The sequence below is a fragment of the Homo sapiens genome, chromosome 7, assembly GCF_000001405.40.
Source record: "Homo sapiens chromosome 7, GRCh38.p14 Primary Assembly".
Taxonomy (NCBI): Eukaryota; Metazoa; Chordata; class Mammalia; order Primates; family Hominidae; genus Homo; species Homo sapiens.
The window spans coordinates 135,125,789-135,144,268 of NC_000007.14; the positions used below are offsets into that span (position 1 = coordinate 135,125,789).

The 18,480-nt window shown below is 36.9% G+C and overlaps 2 protein-coding genes and 1 pseudogene across 9 annotated transcripts in view; 2 read left to right on the forward strand and 1 right to left on the reverse strand.

Moving 5' to 3' along the window:
• AGBL3 (AGBL carboxypeptidase 3) overlaps positions 1 to 9,990 on the forward strand; it is a 149,271-nt gene extending 139,281 nt beyond the window's left edge. For all 7 annotated transcript variants that reach the window (NR_144293.1, NM_178563.4, NM_001345853.1 and 4 more), the window contains one exon: positions 9,053 to 9,990. Coding sequence is in view for 6 of the 7 variants with exons in the window: in NM_178563.4 (NP_848658.3) it covers positions 9,053 to 9,473 (421 nt within the window). In the remaining variant the exon portion in view is untranslated. The remainder of the gene's footprint in view (positions 1 to 9,052) is intronic.
• The window catches only part of CYREN (cell cycle regulator of NHEJ), an 80,167-nt gene that overhangs the window by 33,486 nt on the left and 28,201 nt on the right, over positions 1 to 18,480 (reverse strand). The window lies entirely within an intron of this gene.
• On the forward strand, positions 2,651 to 4,101 carry RNF14P4 (RNF14 pseudogene 4; annotated as a pseudogene).

Genomic DNA, 18,480 nt, shown 5'->3' on the forward strand with positions numbered 1-18,480 from the left:
AAAACCACATAATTATCTCAATAGATGCAAAAAAGAGTTTTGATAAAATTCAACATCCCTTCATGTTAAAAACTCTCAATAAACTAGGTATTGATGGAACATATCTCAAAATAATGAGAGCTATTTATGACAATATATAGCCAATATCATATTGAATAGGCAAAAGCTGGACACATTCCCTTTGAAAACCAGTACAAGACAAGGATGCCCTCTCTCACCACCCCTGTTCAACATAGTATTGGAAGCTCTGGCCAGGGCAATCAGGCAAGAGAAAGAAGTAAAGGGAATTCAAACAGGAAGAGAGGAAGTCAAATGGTCTCTGTTTGCAGATGACATGATTTTATATTTAGAAAACCCCAACATCTCAGCCCCAAAACTCCTTAACTGATAAGCAACTTCAGCAAAGTCTCAGAATACAGAATCAATGTGCAAAAATCACAAGCATTCCTTTACACCAACATAGATAAGCAGAGAGCCAAATCATAAATGAACTCCCATTCACGATTGCTACAAAGAGAATAAAACACCTAGGAATACAGCTAACAAGGGATGTGAAGGACCTCTTCAAGGAGAACTACAGACCACCAAGGAAACAAGAGAGGATACAAACAAGCGGAAAAACATTCCATCCTCGTGGATAGGAAGAATCAATATCATGAAAATGGCAGTACTGCCCAAAGTAATTTATAGATTCAACACTTTTCCCATCAAACTACCACTGACATTCTTCACAGATTTAGAAAAAACTACTTTAAATTTCATATGGAATCAAAGAAAACCCCGAATAGCCAAGACAATCCTAAGCAGAAGGAACAAAGCTGGAGAGGTATCACACTACCTAACTTCAAACTGTACTACGAGGCTACAGTAACCAAAACAGATATATAGACCAATGCAACAGAACGGAGACCTCAGAAATAATACCACACATCTACAACTATTTGATCTTTGACAAACCTGACAAAAACAAGCAATGGGGAAAGGATTCCCTGTTCAATAAGTGATGCTGGGAAAACTGGCTAGCCATGTGCAGAAAACTGAAACTGGACCCCTTCCTTACACCTTATACAAAAATTAACTGAAGATGGATTAAAGACTTAAATGTAAAACCCAAAACCAGAAAAACTCCAGAAGAAAACCTAGGCAATACCATTCAGGACATAGGCATGGGTAAAGACTTCATGACAAAACACCAAAAGCAATTGCAACAGAAGCCAAAATTGACAAATGGGATCTAATTATACTAAAGAGCTTCTGCATAGCAAAAGAAACCAGCATCAGAGTGAACAGGCAACCTACAGAATGGGAGAAAATGTTTGCAATCTACCCATCTGACAAAGGTCTAATATCCAGAATTTACATGGAACTTAAACATATTTACAAGAAAAAAACAGACAACCCCATCAAAAAGTGGGCAAAGGATATGAAGACGCTTCTCAAAAGAAGACATTCATGCAGCCAACAAGCATATGTAAAAAAGCTCAATGGTTGGGTGTGGTGGCTCACGCCTATAATCCCAGCACTTTGGGAGGCCAGGGTGGGTGGATCACGAGGTCAGAATATCGAGACCATCCTGGCCAACATGAAACCCCATCTCTACTAAAATACAAAAAATTAGCCGGGGTGTGGTGGCGCACGCCTGTAGTCCCAGCTACTCGGGAGGCTGAGGCAGGGGAGTTGCTTGAACCCGGGAGGCGGAGGTTGCAGTGAGCCAAGATTGCACCACTGCACTCCAGCCTGGCAACAGAGCAAGTCTCCGTCTAAAAAAAAAAAAAAAACTCAACATCACTGATCACACTGATCATCAGAGAAACGTAAATCAAAACCACAATGAGATACCATCTCACATCAGTCAGAATGGCAATTACTAATAAGTCAAGAAACAATAGATGGCTGGGTAGGCTGCAGAGAAATAAGAATGCTTTTACTCTGCTGGTGGGAGTGTAAATTAGTTCAACCATTGTGGAAGACAGTATGGCGATTCCTCAAGGATCTAGAACCAGAACTACCATTTGACCCAGCAATCCCATTACTGGGTATATACCCAAAGGAATATAAATCATTCTACTATAAAGACACATGCACACATATGTTTATTGCAGCACTGTTTACAATAGCAAAGACATGGAACCAACCCAAATACCCATCAGTGATAGACTGGATAAAGAAAATGTGGCCATATACACCATGGAATACTATGCAGCCATAAAAAGGAATGGGATCTGCCAGGCACGGTGGCTCACGCCTATAATCCCAGCTCTTTGGGAGGCCAAGGTGGGTGGATCACAAGGTCAGGAGTTTGAGACCAGCCTGGCCAATATGGTGAAACCCCGTCTCTACTAAAAATACAAAAATTAGCCAGGTGTGGTGGTGAGTGCCTGTAGTCCCAGCTACTCGGGAGGCTGCGACAGGAGAATTGCTTGAACCCAGGAGGCAGAGGTTGCAGTGAGCCGAGATGGCACCACTGCACTCCAGCCTGGGCAACAGAGTGAGACTCCATCTCAAAAAAAAAAAAAAAAAAAAAAAAAAAACGAAAAAAAAAAACAAAACAACAAGGCATTTGTAAACTGTCATGGCCCTGGTGGGAGTGTAGCAGTGAGGATGATCAGAGATCACTCTCATGGTCATCTTGGTTTTGTTCCTCAGAAAATTAAATGTCAGAAGACCAAGAAGCTCAAGAGGATGAATTGCTGGCCCCAGTGAGTATTTACGATGGAGATGAATTTAGAAAAGCAGTCTGTCCAAGGTGGAGAAACCAGGATCTATTTGGATTTGCCATAGAATTTCAAGATGTTTGTGAGCGCTATCTGCTCTATGGGAAGAACACCCTGGCAGCGTGATCCCGTTTGCCTGGATGCAATTTCTTAAGGAAGAGACCCTAGTATACCTGAATATTGTCTCTCCTTTTGAGCTCAAGATTGATTCTCAGAAAAAAAGTGCAGAGAAGGACAGCTCAAGCCTCTCCCAACACAGAGCTAGATTTTGGAGGAACTTCTGGATCTGATACAGACCAAGAGGAAACTGTGGATGAGACAGCTGTGTGCAGGATGTGGAATCATTGTTAAATATGATCCAGGAAATCTTGGACTTTGATCAAGCTCAGCAGATAAAATGCTTTAATAGTAATTTGTTCCTGTGCAATATCTGTTTCTGTAAGAAGCTGGGTAGTGAATGCATGTACTTCTTGGAGTGCAGGCATGTGTACTGCAAAGACTGTCTGAAGGACTACTTTGAAATCCAGATCAGAGATGGCCAGGTTCAATGCCTCAACTGCCCAGAACCAAAGTGCCCTTCAGTGGCCACTACTGGTCAGGTCAAAGAGCTAGTGGAAGCAGAGTTATTTGCCTATTATGACTGCCTTCTCCTCCAGTCCACCTTGGACCTGATGGCAGATGTGGTGTACTGCCCCCACGCATGCTGCCAGCTGCCTGTGATGCAGGAGCCTGGCTACATCATGGGTATCTGCTCCAGCTGCAATTTTGCCTTCTGTACCTTGTGCAGGTTGACCTACCATGGGGTCTCTCCATGTAAGGTGACTGCAGAGAAATTAATAGACTTACTAAATGAATACCTGCAAGCAGATAAGGCCAATAAAAGACTTTTGGAACAAAGGTATGATAAGAGGGTGATTCAGAAGGCACTGGAAGAGATGGAAAGTAAGGAGTGGCTAGAGAAAAACTTCAAGAACTGACCATGTTGTGGAACTCCCATAGAGAAATTAGATGGATATAACAAGATGACATGTACTGGCTGTATGCAATATTTCTGTTGGATTTGCATGAGTTCTCTCTCTAGAGCAAACCCTTACAAACATTTCACTGATCCTGCTTCAACATGTCTTAAACAGCTGTTTTATGCTGTGGATGTTGATGAAGATATTTGGGAAGATGAGATTGAAGACTAGTTAACTACTGCTCAAGATATGGAAGTGGATTGGTTTTCCCTAATCTTTTGTCAAGTACACAAAGTAACCCTGCAGGATATTTAGGGTACTACTCATTCAGTCTTCCTGTGTAGAAGATATGGAAGAACAAGATTTATATTTTCATGTGGTACTACTGAAGAGGGTGCATTCATACATTTTTTAATGCAAGTTGAGAAAAATTATAAGCCAAGGGTTCAGAAAATGAAACTACAGAATATTAAATATTATAATGTGTCCAAAGCTCTGAATAGTTAAAAATTAAATATTTATTGCCTTCCCCAAGCTTTACATAAGGAGAAGAGGGGTCAAGAGTTAAACTTACAGACCCTTTGTCTCTGAGAAGCTTCCCTCTAAGACATTCTGTTGGAGTTCCCTCAGTACTACTCCTTACAACTGGGGTAGGTAGAAGCCTTATGAAAATTATACTGAGAATCTGATCTCATTTACTCCATGTTAATCACATTCTTACCAACCTAAATTTCTGCCAAGTCAGTTCTCTCTGGAGGAAGCCCTTTACTCTGTAACTGACTGGATGGTCCAGTGTCATTTTGACCTGCTTTTCAGAATGGAAATTTATAATAATTTAAAAATATGTTTTAATACCACAAACGCTATGGGGCACTTGATATTTATTAATGGTGTATATGCTCCACTGGTTTCAGGGCAAATCTAGAATTTAGTGATACTGGCTCAGAAGAATTTAAGTTCTATTCAACTTTCCTGGGTGTTAGAGCCTAGATTCAAAATGACTTGTCTTCGCTACTTTTGTTCCACATTCTCTCTCTTTACCTTTGCCCTACCTTCTGTTTGTAAGGACAGTCTTAATATTAATTCCAGCAACACATGTTTTTATTTCCTCTGCTGGAATAGGAGAAAGCTTAATAATATATTAATTTAATATAATATAATCATATTATTCATATATTCATCCCAAGCTGAATGTTCTTGAATTATCTGCATTTACCACTGTATATGCATATAGTGACAGTATAACCTGTCTATACCACTGTAGTTCCAGTCCTAATTTTCTGAATTATTTTTAAAGGTCTTCTCTAACAAGCTATGGGAATTTGGCTTCATACTCTTTTTTTGCAACAGCAGTGTTTTGGGTGATAATTTTGAATTGATAACTGTTCCTTTTTCTGGGTTTTGTTGGCCTTTTGAAAAATTGTCTTTCGTTATCGTTGGTGGGTGGCTTAGAAGCAAAGTAAAATTTTTTGGAAAAGAGAACAGAAAATTGAACTGCAGCTTGAGAACATATTGTTTTTTTCCTACTTTGTCATTGAAAATTGAAGAATTGCTTTTAACTGTTTTAGGTGTGTGTGTCCAGAGTGAGCAAGGACTATGTTTTTGGATTGTCAAAGAGGATGCTTAATCTTAAAAATAAAAATAAATTTAAAAATCATCTTGTAATTAGAAAAAAAAGGAATGAGATCATGTCTTTTCCAGGGACGTGGATGAAGCTGGAAGCCATCATCTTCAGCAAACTTAATACAGGAACAGAAAACCAAACACCACATGTTTTCACTCATAAGTGGGAGTTGAACAGTGAGAACACATGGACACATAGAGGGGAAAATCACACACCAGGGCCTGTTGCGGGGTGAGGGGTGAGGGGAGGGAACATAGAGGATGTGTCAATAGGTGCAGCAAACCACCATAGCACACATATACCTATGTAACAAACCTGCACGTTCTGCACATGTATCCTGGCTTTTTTTAGAAGAAATAAAGGAAACAAAAATTAAAAAAAAAATTCTCAAAGGAAGTAAAAATATGTATTTAAATTAATGGAAATGAAACTATAATATATTAAAATAAGTGAGATATAGCTAAAGCAGTACTGATACAGAAATTTATAGAACTAACTGCATATGCTAAAAAATGAGAAAACATCTGAAATCAATAATCTAAGCTCCCACCTCAGGGACCTATAAAAAGAAAAGCAAATAAACTCAAAGCAAGCAGAAAGAAGATAATAAAGATAAGAGCAGAAATTAATAAAATTAAAAACAGAAAAATGACACAGAAAATCAGTGAAACAACTGGTTGTTTGAACAGATCAATAAAATTGACAAACTTCTATTAATACTGACAAATAAAGAAAAAAAGACATAAATTACTAACATGAGGAATGAAACAGGATATCACTAAAAATCCTGCATACATCAAAGAGTTAATAGAAAACACTACACACAAATTTGACAACTTACAGAAAATGGATTATTTCCTCAATAAAATATGAACTACCCCAACTCATTCAATATGAAATAGAATATTTGAATACCCCTGTAACTAATAAGGAAATTGATTTCATAATTTTAAAACCCTAAAAAAGAAATCACCTGGCCTAGGTGGTTTTAGAAGAGAATTTTACTAATAAAGGAAGAATTAATACCAATTCTATACAATTTCTTCCAGAAAATAGGAGTTCTCAGTTCATTTTATGAAGCCACTGTTAGTGTGATATCAAAACCAGACAAGGGCAAAACAAAAAAGGAAATGACAGAATAAGATTTTGCATAAATATAGATTTAACAAGCTAAATCTAACAAAATATTAGCAAATAGAATTCAGCTCTAAATAAAAAGAATTATACACCATGACCAAGTGAAGTCTATTTCAGGAATTCAAGGTTAGTTTAATATTCAAAAAGTAATTGATGAAATCCTTCATATTAGCAAGCTTAAGAAGAAAAATCACAAGATCCTATTAATTGGCACAGAAATTGGTATTCGACAGAATTCAGTACCCATCCATGATAAAAAGTCTCAGAAAAACATAGGAATAAAGGGGATCTTACTCAATAAAGTCCATTCTTACCACTTGATATAGTTTGGCTGTGTCCCCACCCAAATCTCACCTTTAATTGTAATAATCCCCACGTGTCAAGGCAGGGTCAGGTGGAGATAATTGAATCACGGGAACAGTTTCCCCATACTCTTCTCGTGGTACTGAACAAGTCTCAGGAGATCCGATGGTTTTATAAATAGGAGTTCCCCTGCATAAGCTGTCTTGCGTGCCACCATGTAAGACATGACTTTGCTCCTCCTTTGCCTTCCGCCAAGATTGCGAGGCCTCCCCAGCCATGTGGAACTGTGAGTCAATTAAACCTTTTTCCTTTATAAATTACCCAGCATTGGGTATGTTTTTATTAGCAGCGTGAGAATAGAATAATACACCACTCTATTGAACATTGTGCTAGAAGTTCTAGCCACTGCAATAAGGCAATAAAAAAATAAAAAGCATACAAATCAGAAAGGAAAAAATAAAATGATCCCTACTGTGAAAGATGTTATTCTCTATGTAGAAAATCCTAATAAATTTACCAAAACACACACGCACGCATGCGTGCACACACACACACACACACACACACACACACAACCTTTAGAATTAATAAGTTATGCTAGGCCTCAGAATACAAGATAAATGTACAAAATTAATTGCTCTTCTATAAATAAGCAATGAACATGTGAACACCAAAATTACAAAATATCTCAAAAAAAATACTTGGTTTTACAGGGTTTCTATGCTGAAAAGTATACAACATGAATAAGAGAAATTTTAAAATATCTAAATGAGTGGAAAGATGTAGCATGTTCATAAATTGAAAGCCTCAATAAAGATGTCAGTTCTTCCCAGCTTAATATACAAGTTTAACACGATGCCTATCAAAATCCCAGCAAGATCTTTTGTATATATAGACAAGATTATTCCAGAATTTATCTGCCGATGCATTAAAATAGCAAAAACAATTTTGACAAACAAGGATAAAATGGGAGAGATCAGTCTATCTGATTTCAAGAACTTTTATATAGCTAGAGTAATCAAGACAGTAGTATTAGAGGAGAAATAAACATACACATCAGTGGAACTGAGGCAAAAACCAAGAAATAGACCACATAAATTTGCTCCACTGATTTTGATAGGGAATTCAAAAGCAATTCAATGGAGAAAAAAGAGACTTTTCAACAAATGGTGCTGGAACAATTGGATATCCATAGGCTAAAAAAATGAACTTTAAACTTACATCTTATACAAAAATTAACTCACAAAAAAACCTGTGTGTATAACTATTTATAAGAGCCATAAACTGGAAATAATCTATATGTCATTGAATGGATGAATTATTAAACCAACTATGGTACATTCATGTCACAGACTCAGCAATTATAATAAGGAATGAACTGCTGATGCACAAAACAACATAGATGAATCTCCAGACAATTACTCTGAGAAAAAAAAAAGCTGATCCTAGAAGGTTACATACAGTATGATTCCTTTATGCAACATTCTTAAAATAACAAAATAATATAACTTGATAATAGATTAATAATGGTTGCCAGGAATTAAGGAGGGGATGGGAAAGGAGGGAAGCAGGTACTACAAGAGGGCAACATGGGGGCAGTGTTCTCTATCTTGACTACATCAATGTCAATATCCTGATTGTGATATTGTTCTATGGTTTTGCAAGCTATTTTGGGGAAATTGGGTGAAGAGTTCATGGGATCTCTCTGTATTACTTCTCTCAAATGCAGTTAAGTCTACAGTTATCTCAAAATTTAAAAGTTTAATTGAAAGTATAGCTGAAATTCTATGGTTAAAAAATGGAATGCTAAAAAAACAGAGATTTTAAGTGGCTGCAATTATTAGTTTACAAAAGCTCCCCCGAGGAAAACTTCCCTCTCTTAGACTCACGTTGATTTTTTTACTGGTTATAGAAAAAAATCTCATAGCATATATACTGAATCCATTCTAATAGAATAAACAGAATAGATTTTTAGAGCAAACAACTACTTTACTTTTTAGTGACCATCTACTTTAACTAGATATATAGGTAAGGAGCTGGGGCCCAGAGTGGCTATTATATTAGGAAGGCTGAGGTTAGAGTAGGTATCCAAATAAACATATCCTCTAGGCATTTAGAAATACAGGATTGGAATAGTGCTAAAAAAAAAATCATGATCAGAGATGAAGACTTCTAAATGATGGTAAAATTCTTAAACTTTAAGAAGTTATGAACTTACTAAAAGGAAAAATATTATTTATACTATGACAACATACCTAGGACTACAAAGTAGGTCCATGATGGACAAAAATTCACGTATTTCATTTCTTTTCTAGACTAAATCCGGCTACTTGCAGAAATATAAAGAAATACAGCACATCTTGGACAGCACCCAGAAATCACCCTTTTGTAATCCAAGGGGATGTTATGGCAAACTCTTCAGAATGGGTCCAGTCTAAGCCCCACAGGTCATTGGAAAGTTTATCACCTCTCAAAGGCCCCAAGAAGAATAAACATTCTCAAATCTGGGCCATAAAGAATGAAGACATAAAACCTCTCAGCAGCAAGTGGGAGACTGCTTCTTCAAGCTTTGGAATGGATGCAAATGTTCTAAAATATAAGAGTCTTCAAGCTGAAGAAACTAACCAGCAAAGCTCTAAGCATACAGCCCTCCATCTAACTAAAAATAAGGATGAGCAGGCCAATAAGAATGATGGACAACCCACCTTATATCTGAAGTTCCAAAGGGAGAGTTAATCTAGCTTTATACTGCTCTGAGAACTGTGAATGAAGGATAACATATGCTTATGTAGTAAAAAGAAAAAAAGGAAAGCCCTCCCCTTCCCCTTTCCCTATCTCTCCCCTTACACATGCATATGCATAAACTAAAAATTTTAGATATCCCATCTTCTGTAGTGGGAACATCTTTCAGAGATTTAAAAAGAAATCCAGAGAAAATATGGAAAAATATTAAAGCAGATATTTATATTTAGTTTTTATCAGCATGGAAAAAAATCTCTGAAGTTTTGATTTCTTCCAAAACTACTTACACATTCGACACCAAAAAAACTTAAGAACTCAAAGTAGGAATGACATATAATATGTCACTGATTTTAACCTCCCTACTAGACACTTTAATCAATTAGTCAACAAACATCATTTCCTGATTTTCTGTTATATCATTAGTGTGCTAGGAACCATTTCTCTCTACTAGGAGATTACCACATAATTGTACAGATAAAACATACCTGAATAAAATGATTACAGAATAAGATAAAGTGTTAAGTTGTGCACTTCCAATGATTAGAAAAAATACTGTATATTAAAAGTTGCCAGTTGCACAAAGCAAAAGTGTGGCACAACATGGCACTGAAATGCATAGACTGTGGTTTAAAATAATCATTTTATTTCTCAAAATGTAGCAAAGGTGTAAAGATGTACAGTTTCCTTTACAGCGAATTGGTTTACATCTCCAGCCATTTATTCATGTGAACACTGGAATAAGTCCAGCACCTCAGTTTGTCATTCATAAGGCAGTGAGCACTGGGAGGGATTTGTGAAGGACACACAGAGGAGCAAGTATGTCAGGCAGAAGAGTCAAGATGCATGTAGTAAGTCAGAAAACAGAATCAAGCAGCCTTGAGTCATAGGTCAACAATGGCATCCATTAGAGGATGAGGCTAAGCATAAGAAGGGTCAGGTAGGAGAGGTACATTAAAAATACAGGCCACAGCCTAATTACAGCTGGGTGGAACTATGAAGATCTGGGGTTGAGTGGTCTACTCTCAACAGTATTTCTAGTAGCTAAAGAGTTTCCAAGGAGAGCCCACTGCACTGTTAAAAGAGTAACTATTATGTTTTAAAGGACCATGACCATAGATTTCCTCAGGAATCTTTAATGTCTGGTGGGAAATAGCTATCTTCTAAATACATTAGATGGTGCTTTGAAGGCAAGTATCCTGGTTCTCAAAGAGTACCCCAACTTTTGGTATAAAATTCTCATCCTTAGTGATTATCTTGGGCAAGAGCAGAAGTCTACTTGCTTTTGGGATGCCCTCTGCCAGGTAGGTGCTCGGGCTTGGGAAAGCCAGAGGTTAATGTTCCGGATCATAGCATTTATTGTAGCTGACTTCAGGATGGAGTAAGAGTTCTCAAAATTCCATTGGCCCTTCTCCACAAAGATCAGGACAAAAGCCTAAACTCTGGGAAAATATTTTTAATTCAGTGAAATGTCATTTGAATCTTCGACTGCCTAAGAGTTTGAAATTGTAAACTCTGGAATGTATTGTCTTTGTGGATGACCAAAAAAGGTGATAAACCAGTTTCCTGGAAGATTTAGGGATGCACAGATATTACCTAAACAATTTTACCTTGGTCCATAATTGCACTCCTTGTATTTGATACAAATATAAGATGCTTTACCCAAAGTAAGAGGATTGGCAGTCCACTTCCTCACTATGCTACAATACTTTCAGTTTTCTGAGCATGCCACTCTCTCATAAAAGCTATTTATTCTCTCAGCCCAGCATCTCCTCCACCTGGCAGCCCCTACTTCTTTAAGATTCAACTCAACTGCTGCCTTCTCTGGCAAACCTTCCATATATTTCCATAGAAATTTAAAACAACTACGATGAATATGCTGACAGTTCTAATGGGAAAATTGGACAATGCAAGAACAGATGGGTAATATAAGCAGAGAGATGGGAACTAAGAAACAAAAAAAAAATGCTAGAAATCAAAAACACTGTAACAGAATGAATGATGATGGACTACCCAACAGGTAAGACACAACTGAGGAAAGAGTCAGTATGCTTAAAACAATGTCAATAGAAACTAGCAAAACTTAAATGCAGAGCAAAAAAGAATGAAAAATTCAGAATATCCAAAAACTGCAGGACAATTTTAAAAGGTATGTAACGTGTAATGGGACTACTGGAAGTAAAGGAAAAAAAGGAACACAAGAAATATTGAAGCAGTAATGACGGAGAATTTCTCAAAATGAACGACACCAAACCACAGATCCAGAAAGCTCACAGAATACCAGGAATGATAAATACCAAAAAAATCAAAGACCAAGAAAAAATCTTGAAAAAAACACCTTATGTATAGATAAGCAGGGATAAGAATTACATCAGACATCTCTTCAGAAACCATGCAAGAAAGAAGAGAGTGGAGTGAAACATTTAAAGGGTTTAAAGAACCACTGTCTCAGCTCAGGCTGCTGTAACAAAATACCATAAACTAGGCTGCTTAATGAAACAATAGAAATTTATCTCAGTTCTGAGGCTGGGAAGTCCAAGATCAAGATGTCAACAGATCCAGTGTCCAGTGAGGGCAGTCATCTTGGTTTGCAGGTGGCCTTCTTGTTGTATCCTCGCATGGTAGGGAGAGATCATCCCACGTCTCTTCTTATGATCACTAATCTCATTCATGAGGGCTTCACCCTCATGACCTAATTACCACCCAAAGGTCCTGTCTTCTAATACGATCACACTAGGGGTTAGGATTGCAACATATGAAATTTGGGGGATGCAACATCAGACCATAACAACCGCTGACTACAGTTCTGTATCCAGTGAAATTGTCCTCCAAAAGTGAAAGAGAAATGGACTTTTTCAGACAAACAAAAATTGTGGGAATTTGTCATCTCTAGAGCTGCTCTTTTTTTTAATGTTAAAAGAAATTCTTTAGAAAGGATGAAAATTATACAGGTCAGAAATTCTGGCCTACGTAAACAAAGGGAAAGCAATAGAAAAGGAATAAATGAAGGTAAAATAAAATCTTTTATTTTTCTTAATTACCTAACAGATAATAGTTTGTTCAAAACAATAACAGTGTATTCAGAAATTATAGCTTATTGATAAGTGAAATGAATAGCAGCAATGTTGTAAGGAATCGGAGGGAGGAATTGGGAATACCCTGTTACAAAATACTTGTACTACCAAAGAAGCAAGTGGTATAGGGTTATTTGAGAAAGGATTGGATTCATTGTAAATGTATCCTGTAAATTCAAGGGTAAAAAAGAGGTAGAATTGATATACTAAAATAGGAAAAAAATCAAATCATACAAAATATTCAATTAAAATAGAAGGAGGTAGAAAACAAGTGGAAGACAAAATAATAAAGGTTTGTTACATGGGTAAATTGCATGTTGTGGGCATTTGGTGTACAGATTATTTCATCATTCATGTAATAAGCATAATACACAATAGGTAGATTTTCGATCCTCACCCTCCTCCCACCCTTCACCCTCAAGTAGGCCCTAGTGTCTATTGTTCCCTTCATTGTGTCCATGTGTACCTAATGTTTAGTTCCCACTTATAAGTGAGAACTTGTGGCATTTGGTTTTCTGTTCCTGCATTAATTTGCTTAGGATAATGACCTCCAGCTTCACCCATGTTGCTGTAAAGGACACTATTTCATTCTTTTATATGGCTGCATAGTATTCTATGGTATATGTGTACCACATTTTCTTTATTCAGTCCACCATTGATGGTCATCTAGGTTAATTCTATGTCTTTGCTACTGTGAATAGTGCTACAGTGAACATACACATGCATGTGTCTTTATGGTAGAACAATTTATATTCCTTTGGATATATACTGCATAATGGGATTGCTGGGTCAGATGATAGTTGTGTTTTAAGTTCTTTGATAAATCCCCAAACCACTTTCCAAAGTGACTGAACTAATGTACATTCCTGCCAACAGTGTGTAAGCATTCCCTTTCCTCTGCAACCTCACTAGTTTTTTTTTACTTTAACAATAGCCATTCTGACTGTTGTGAGATGGTATCTCATTGTGATTTTGATTTGCATTTATCTAATCATTAGTGATGTTGAGAATTTTTTCATATGCTTGTTGGCCATGTGTATGTCTTCTCTTGAGAAGTGTCTATTCGTGTCCTTTGCCCTTTTTTTTTTAATGAGGTTGTTTTTTGCTTGTTACGTTTTTTATAGATTCTTAATATTTGACCTTTCTTAGATGCATAGTTTACAAATATTTTCTCCCCTTCTATAGGCTGTTTACTGTGCTCAAAGTTTCTTCTGCTGTGCAGAAGCTCTTTAGTTTAATTAGGTCCCACTTGTAATTTTTGTTTTTGTTGCAATTGCTTTTGTAGTCTTTAACGTGAAATATTTGCCAGGGCCTATGTCCAAAATGGTATTTTCCAGGTTTTCTTCTATGCTTTTTATAGTTTTAGGTTTTACATTTAAGTCTTTAATCCATCTTGAGTTGATTTTTGTATATGGTGAAAGGAAGGGGTCCAATTTCAATTTTCTGCATATGACTAGCCAGTTATTCCAGCACCATTTATTGAATAGGGTGCTCTTTCCCCATTGCTTGTTATTGTTGACTTTGTCAAAGATCAGATGGTTGTAGGGTACAACATTATATATGGGTTCTTTAACCTGTTTCATTAGTCTGTTTTTGTACCAGTACCATGTTGTTTTGGTTACATAGCCTTGTAGTATAGTTTGAAGTCAAGCAGTGTGATGCTTCCAGCTTTGTTCTTTTTGCTTAGGATTGCTTTGGCAATTCAGGCTCTTTTTTGGATCCACATGAATTTTAGAATAGTTTTTTTTTTCTAATTCTGTAAAAAATATTGTAGTTTGATAAAGAATACATTGAATCTGTACATTGTTTTGGGCAGTAAGTCCATTTTAACAATATCGATTCTTCCTATCCATGAGCATGGAATGTTTTTCCATTTATTTGTGTCATTTCTTATTTTTTTCAGCAGTGCTTTGTAATTCTCATTGTAGACATCTTTCACGTCCCTGGTTAGTTGTATTCGTAGGTATTTTTATCTACTTGTGGTTATTATGAATGGGATTGCATTCCTGATTTGGTTCTCAGCTTGGACATTATTGGTGTATAAGAATGCTATTGATTTTTGTACATTGATTTTGTATCCTGAAACTTTGCTGAAGTTGCTTAGCAGATCTAGGAGCCTTTGGGCAGAGACTATGGGGTTTTCTAGGTATAGAGTCATATAATCTGCAGAGAGATAGTTTGACTTCATCTCTTTTTATTTGGACGCCTTTTATTTCTTTCTCTTGCCTAGTTGCTCTGGCTAGGACTCCCAATACTATGTTGAGTAGCAGTGGTGCAAGTGGACATCCTTGTTTTGTGCCCATTTTCAAAGGGAATGCTTCCAGCTTTTGCCCATTTAGTATGCTGTTGGCTGTAGGTTTATCATAGGTGGCTCTTATTATTTTGAGGTATGTTGCCTTGATCCCTAGTTTGTTGAGAGTTTTTAACATGAAGGGATGCTGAATTTTATCAAAAGCCTTTTCTGCATCTATTAAGATGATCAATAGATGCAGGAAAGATTGTTTATAGTTCTGTTTATGTGATGAATCACATTTATTGATTTGCATATGTTGAACCAACCTTCCATCCACCTTGAACATGGTGGATTAGCTTTTTGATGTGCTGCCGGATTCGGTTTGCTAGTATTTTGTTGAGGATTTTTTCCTCTATGTTCATCAAGGATATTGACCTGAAGTTTTCTTTTTTTCATTGTGCCTCTGCCAGGTTTTGGTATCAGGCTGATGCTGACCTTATAGACTGAGTTAGAGAGGAGTCCCCACTCCTTGATTTTTTGGGATAGTTTCAGTAGGTTTGCTACCTGTTTTTCTTTGTATGTCTGGTAGAATTCAGCCATGAATCTGTATGGTCCAGGGCCTTTTCTGGTTGGTAGGTTTTTATTACTGATTCAATTTCAGAACTTGTTATAGTATGTTCAGGATTTCAATTTCTTCCTGGTTCAATCTTGGGAGGTGGTATGTTTCTAGGAATTTATCCATTTCTTCTAGGTTTTCTAGTTTGTATGCATACAGTCATTCATAATTGTCTCTGAGGGTTTCTTATACTTTTGTGGGGTCAGTGGTAATGTCCCCTTTGTTATTTCTGATTGTGTTTATTTGGATCTTCTCTGTTTCTTCATTAGTCTAGCTAGTGGTCTATCAATTCTATTTATTCTTTCAAAAAACCAACTTTTGGTTTTGTTGATCTTTCGTATGTTTTTTTGTGTCTCAGTTTCATTCAGTTCAGCTCTGATTGTGCTTATTTATTTTCTTCTTCTAGCTTTGGGGTCGGTTCACTCCTGTTTTTCTAGTTCTTCTAGGTGTGGTGTTAGATTGTAAATGTGAGATCTTTCTTTTGGATGTTGGCATTTAGTGCTACAAACTTTACCCTCAATCCTGCTTTAGCTGTGTCCCAGACATTCTCATATGTTGTATATTTGTTTTCATTAGTTTCAAAGAATTTCTTGATTTCTGCCTTAATTTCATTGTTTACCCATAAGTAATTCAGGAGCAAATTGTTTAATTTCTATGTAATTGTATGGTTTAGAGAAATCTTGGTGTTGATTTCTACTTTTATTGTGCTTTATTCTGAAAGAGTGGTTGGTATGATTTCATTTTTTCTTTAATTTCTGAGAATTGCTTTATGGCCAAGCATGCGGTTGATCTTAGAGTATGTGCCATATGCAAATGAGAAGAATGTATATTCTGTTGTTGTTGGGTGGGGTGTTCTGTAGATGTCTGTTAGGTCCATTTGGTCAAGTGTCAAGTTTAGTTCCAGAATATCTTTGTTAGTTTTCTGCCTCAGTGATATGTCTAATACTGTAATGTGTCATGACAGTAAAAGAAAAAGTTGAATTGCTTGATATGCACCATAGATTGAGATCTGCAGCTGCATTTGCCCACTATTTCAGACAATTTATTTCATAAACAGATAATGTAAACTTAATGGTATCAATAAATACATCAAGTACATGGGAGATACATTTCTTTCCATATATTTGCCCTTCCTTATGATTTTCTTAATAGTTTCTTTAGTTACTTTATTGTAATACAGTACGTAATACATATACAAAATATGTGTTATCAGCTGTTTGTTTTCAGTAAGGCTTCTGATCAACAATAGGCTATTAAGTGTTGGGGTTGCAAAAGTTATACATCAGTTTTCTTCTGTATGAGGGGGTTGGTGCCTCTAATTCCTGTGTAGCTCAAGGGTCAACTGTATTTGTTCACAGATATCATGACTGTCTTTGTAGAAAATGCAAGGAAATCAATAACAACAACAAAAACTGGGAGTAATAAGTGATAATAGCAAGACTGCAAGACACTAGGTTAATATACAAAAGTCAATTGCCTCCTTATATGCCAGCAATGAACAATTGGAGTTTGAAATTAAAAACACATTACCATTGACATTAGCACCAAAAAATAAAAACGAAATACTTAAGTATGTGTCAAGAGCTATATGAGGAAAACTATAAAACTCTGATGAAAAAAAAACTACTAAAGAATAACTAAATAAATGGAAAGACAGTCTGTGTTCATAGACAGGAAAACTCAATATTGTCAAGATGTCAGTTCTTTCCAACTTGATCTATAGATCCCAATTAAAATCCCAGCCAGTTATTTTGTAGATATCAACAAACTGTTTCTAAAGTTCATATGGAGAGGCAAAAGACCCAGAATAGCCAACACAGTATTGAAGAAGAACAAAGTCAGAAGACTGACACTACATGCCTTTAAGACTTACTATAGACTGAGTGCGGTGGCTCATGCCTGTAATCCCAGCACTTTGGGAGGCCAAGGTGGGATGTTCACTTGAAGCCAGGAACTTAAAACCAGCCTGGGCAACATAGCAAGACCCTGTTTCTACAAAAATAAATAAAAAGAAAATTCTAAAAACGGACTTACTATAGAGGTACAATAATCAATACAGTATGTTATTGGCAAAATAACAGACAGATCAATGAACAGAATAGAGAGACAAGAAAAAGATCCACATAAATATAGTCAACTCATCTTTAACAAAGGAGCAAAGGCAATACAATGAAACAAAGATAGTCCTTTCAACAAATGGTGCTGGAACAACTGGACATCCACATACTGCAAAAACAAACAAACAAATCCAGATGCAGACCTTATTGCCTTCACAAAAATTAACTGAAAATGGATCACAGACCTAAATGTAAAATGCAATACTATAAATCTGGAAGATAACACAGGAAAAAAAACTAGACGGCTGAGGGTATGTGTAGGAATTACATGAGATATCTCTGTACCTTCCTCTCAATTTTCCTGTGAACCTAAAACCAATCTAAGAAATGAAGTGTTTAATATTGAATTTAAAAAAAAAATGGGCAGAGATCCAGCTCTAAAACAGCACCCTGAGAAGCTTCTCACCCACTCCCCAGTGGTGGGCAGGGAGGGGAACCTGGTAGAAATATTTTTTAGAAAAACCCATTTAAAGTTTTAAAAACCATTAGGAAAATTGTCCTAAGGACATACATCAAATAAAGACATATTTATTCAGAAAATTTACTAAATTCCTGTAAGAAAAGTGAGGGTCTCTGGTACTTAGCCATGGCCCACTCCTTCCCTTCCCCCATGTTCAGCAGAAGGGAAACTCCACTGTGGGAGGATATGGCCAAGAACACTGGGATCACAGTCACTCCAGCTCCCAGTCAAGGGCTATGGTATCTCCCCTAGGAGGAGAAGGCTGCCAGCGTTTCTCATCTCCCTACCGCTGTGAAGCAGAAACAACATTTGAGGCTAATGAGGCCAAGAGGTCAGGGACTCCCTTCCTCCACTCAACCATAAGGCAAAGGTTCAGTGGGCTGGGAATACTGGATTCCTGGTCACCTTTTCTCCAGCTACTTCATAGTGTGGAGTTTCCATGCCAGGAGAGTCAAGCTGAAGTTGAAAAGACCAGAGGCTACTACGCCACTCAGGACCATGCTC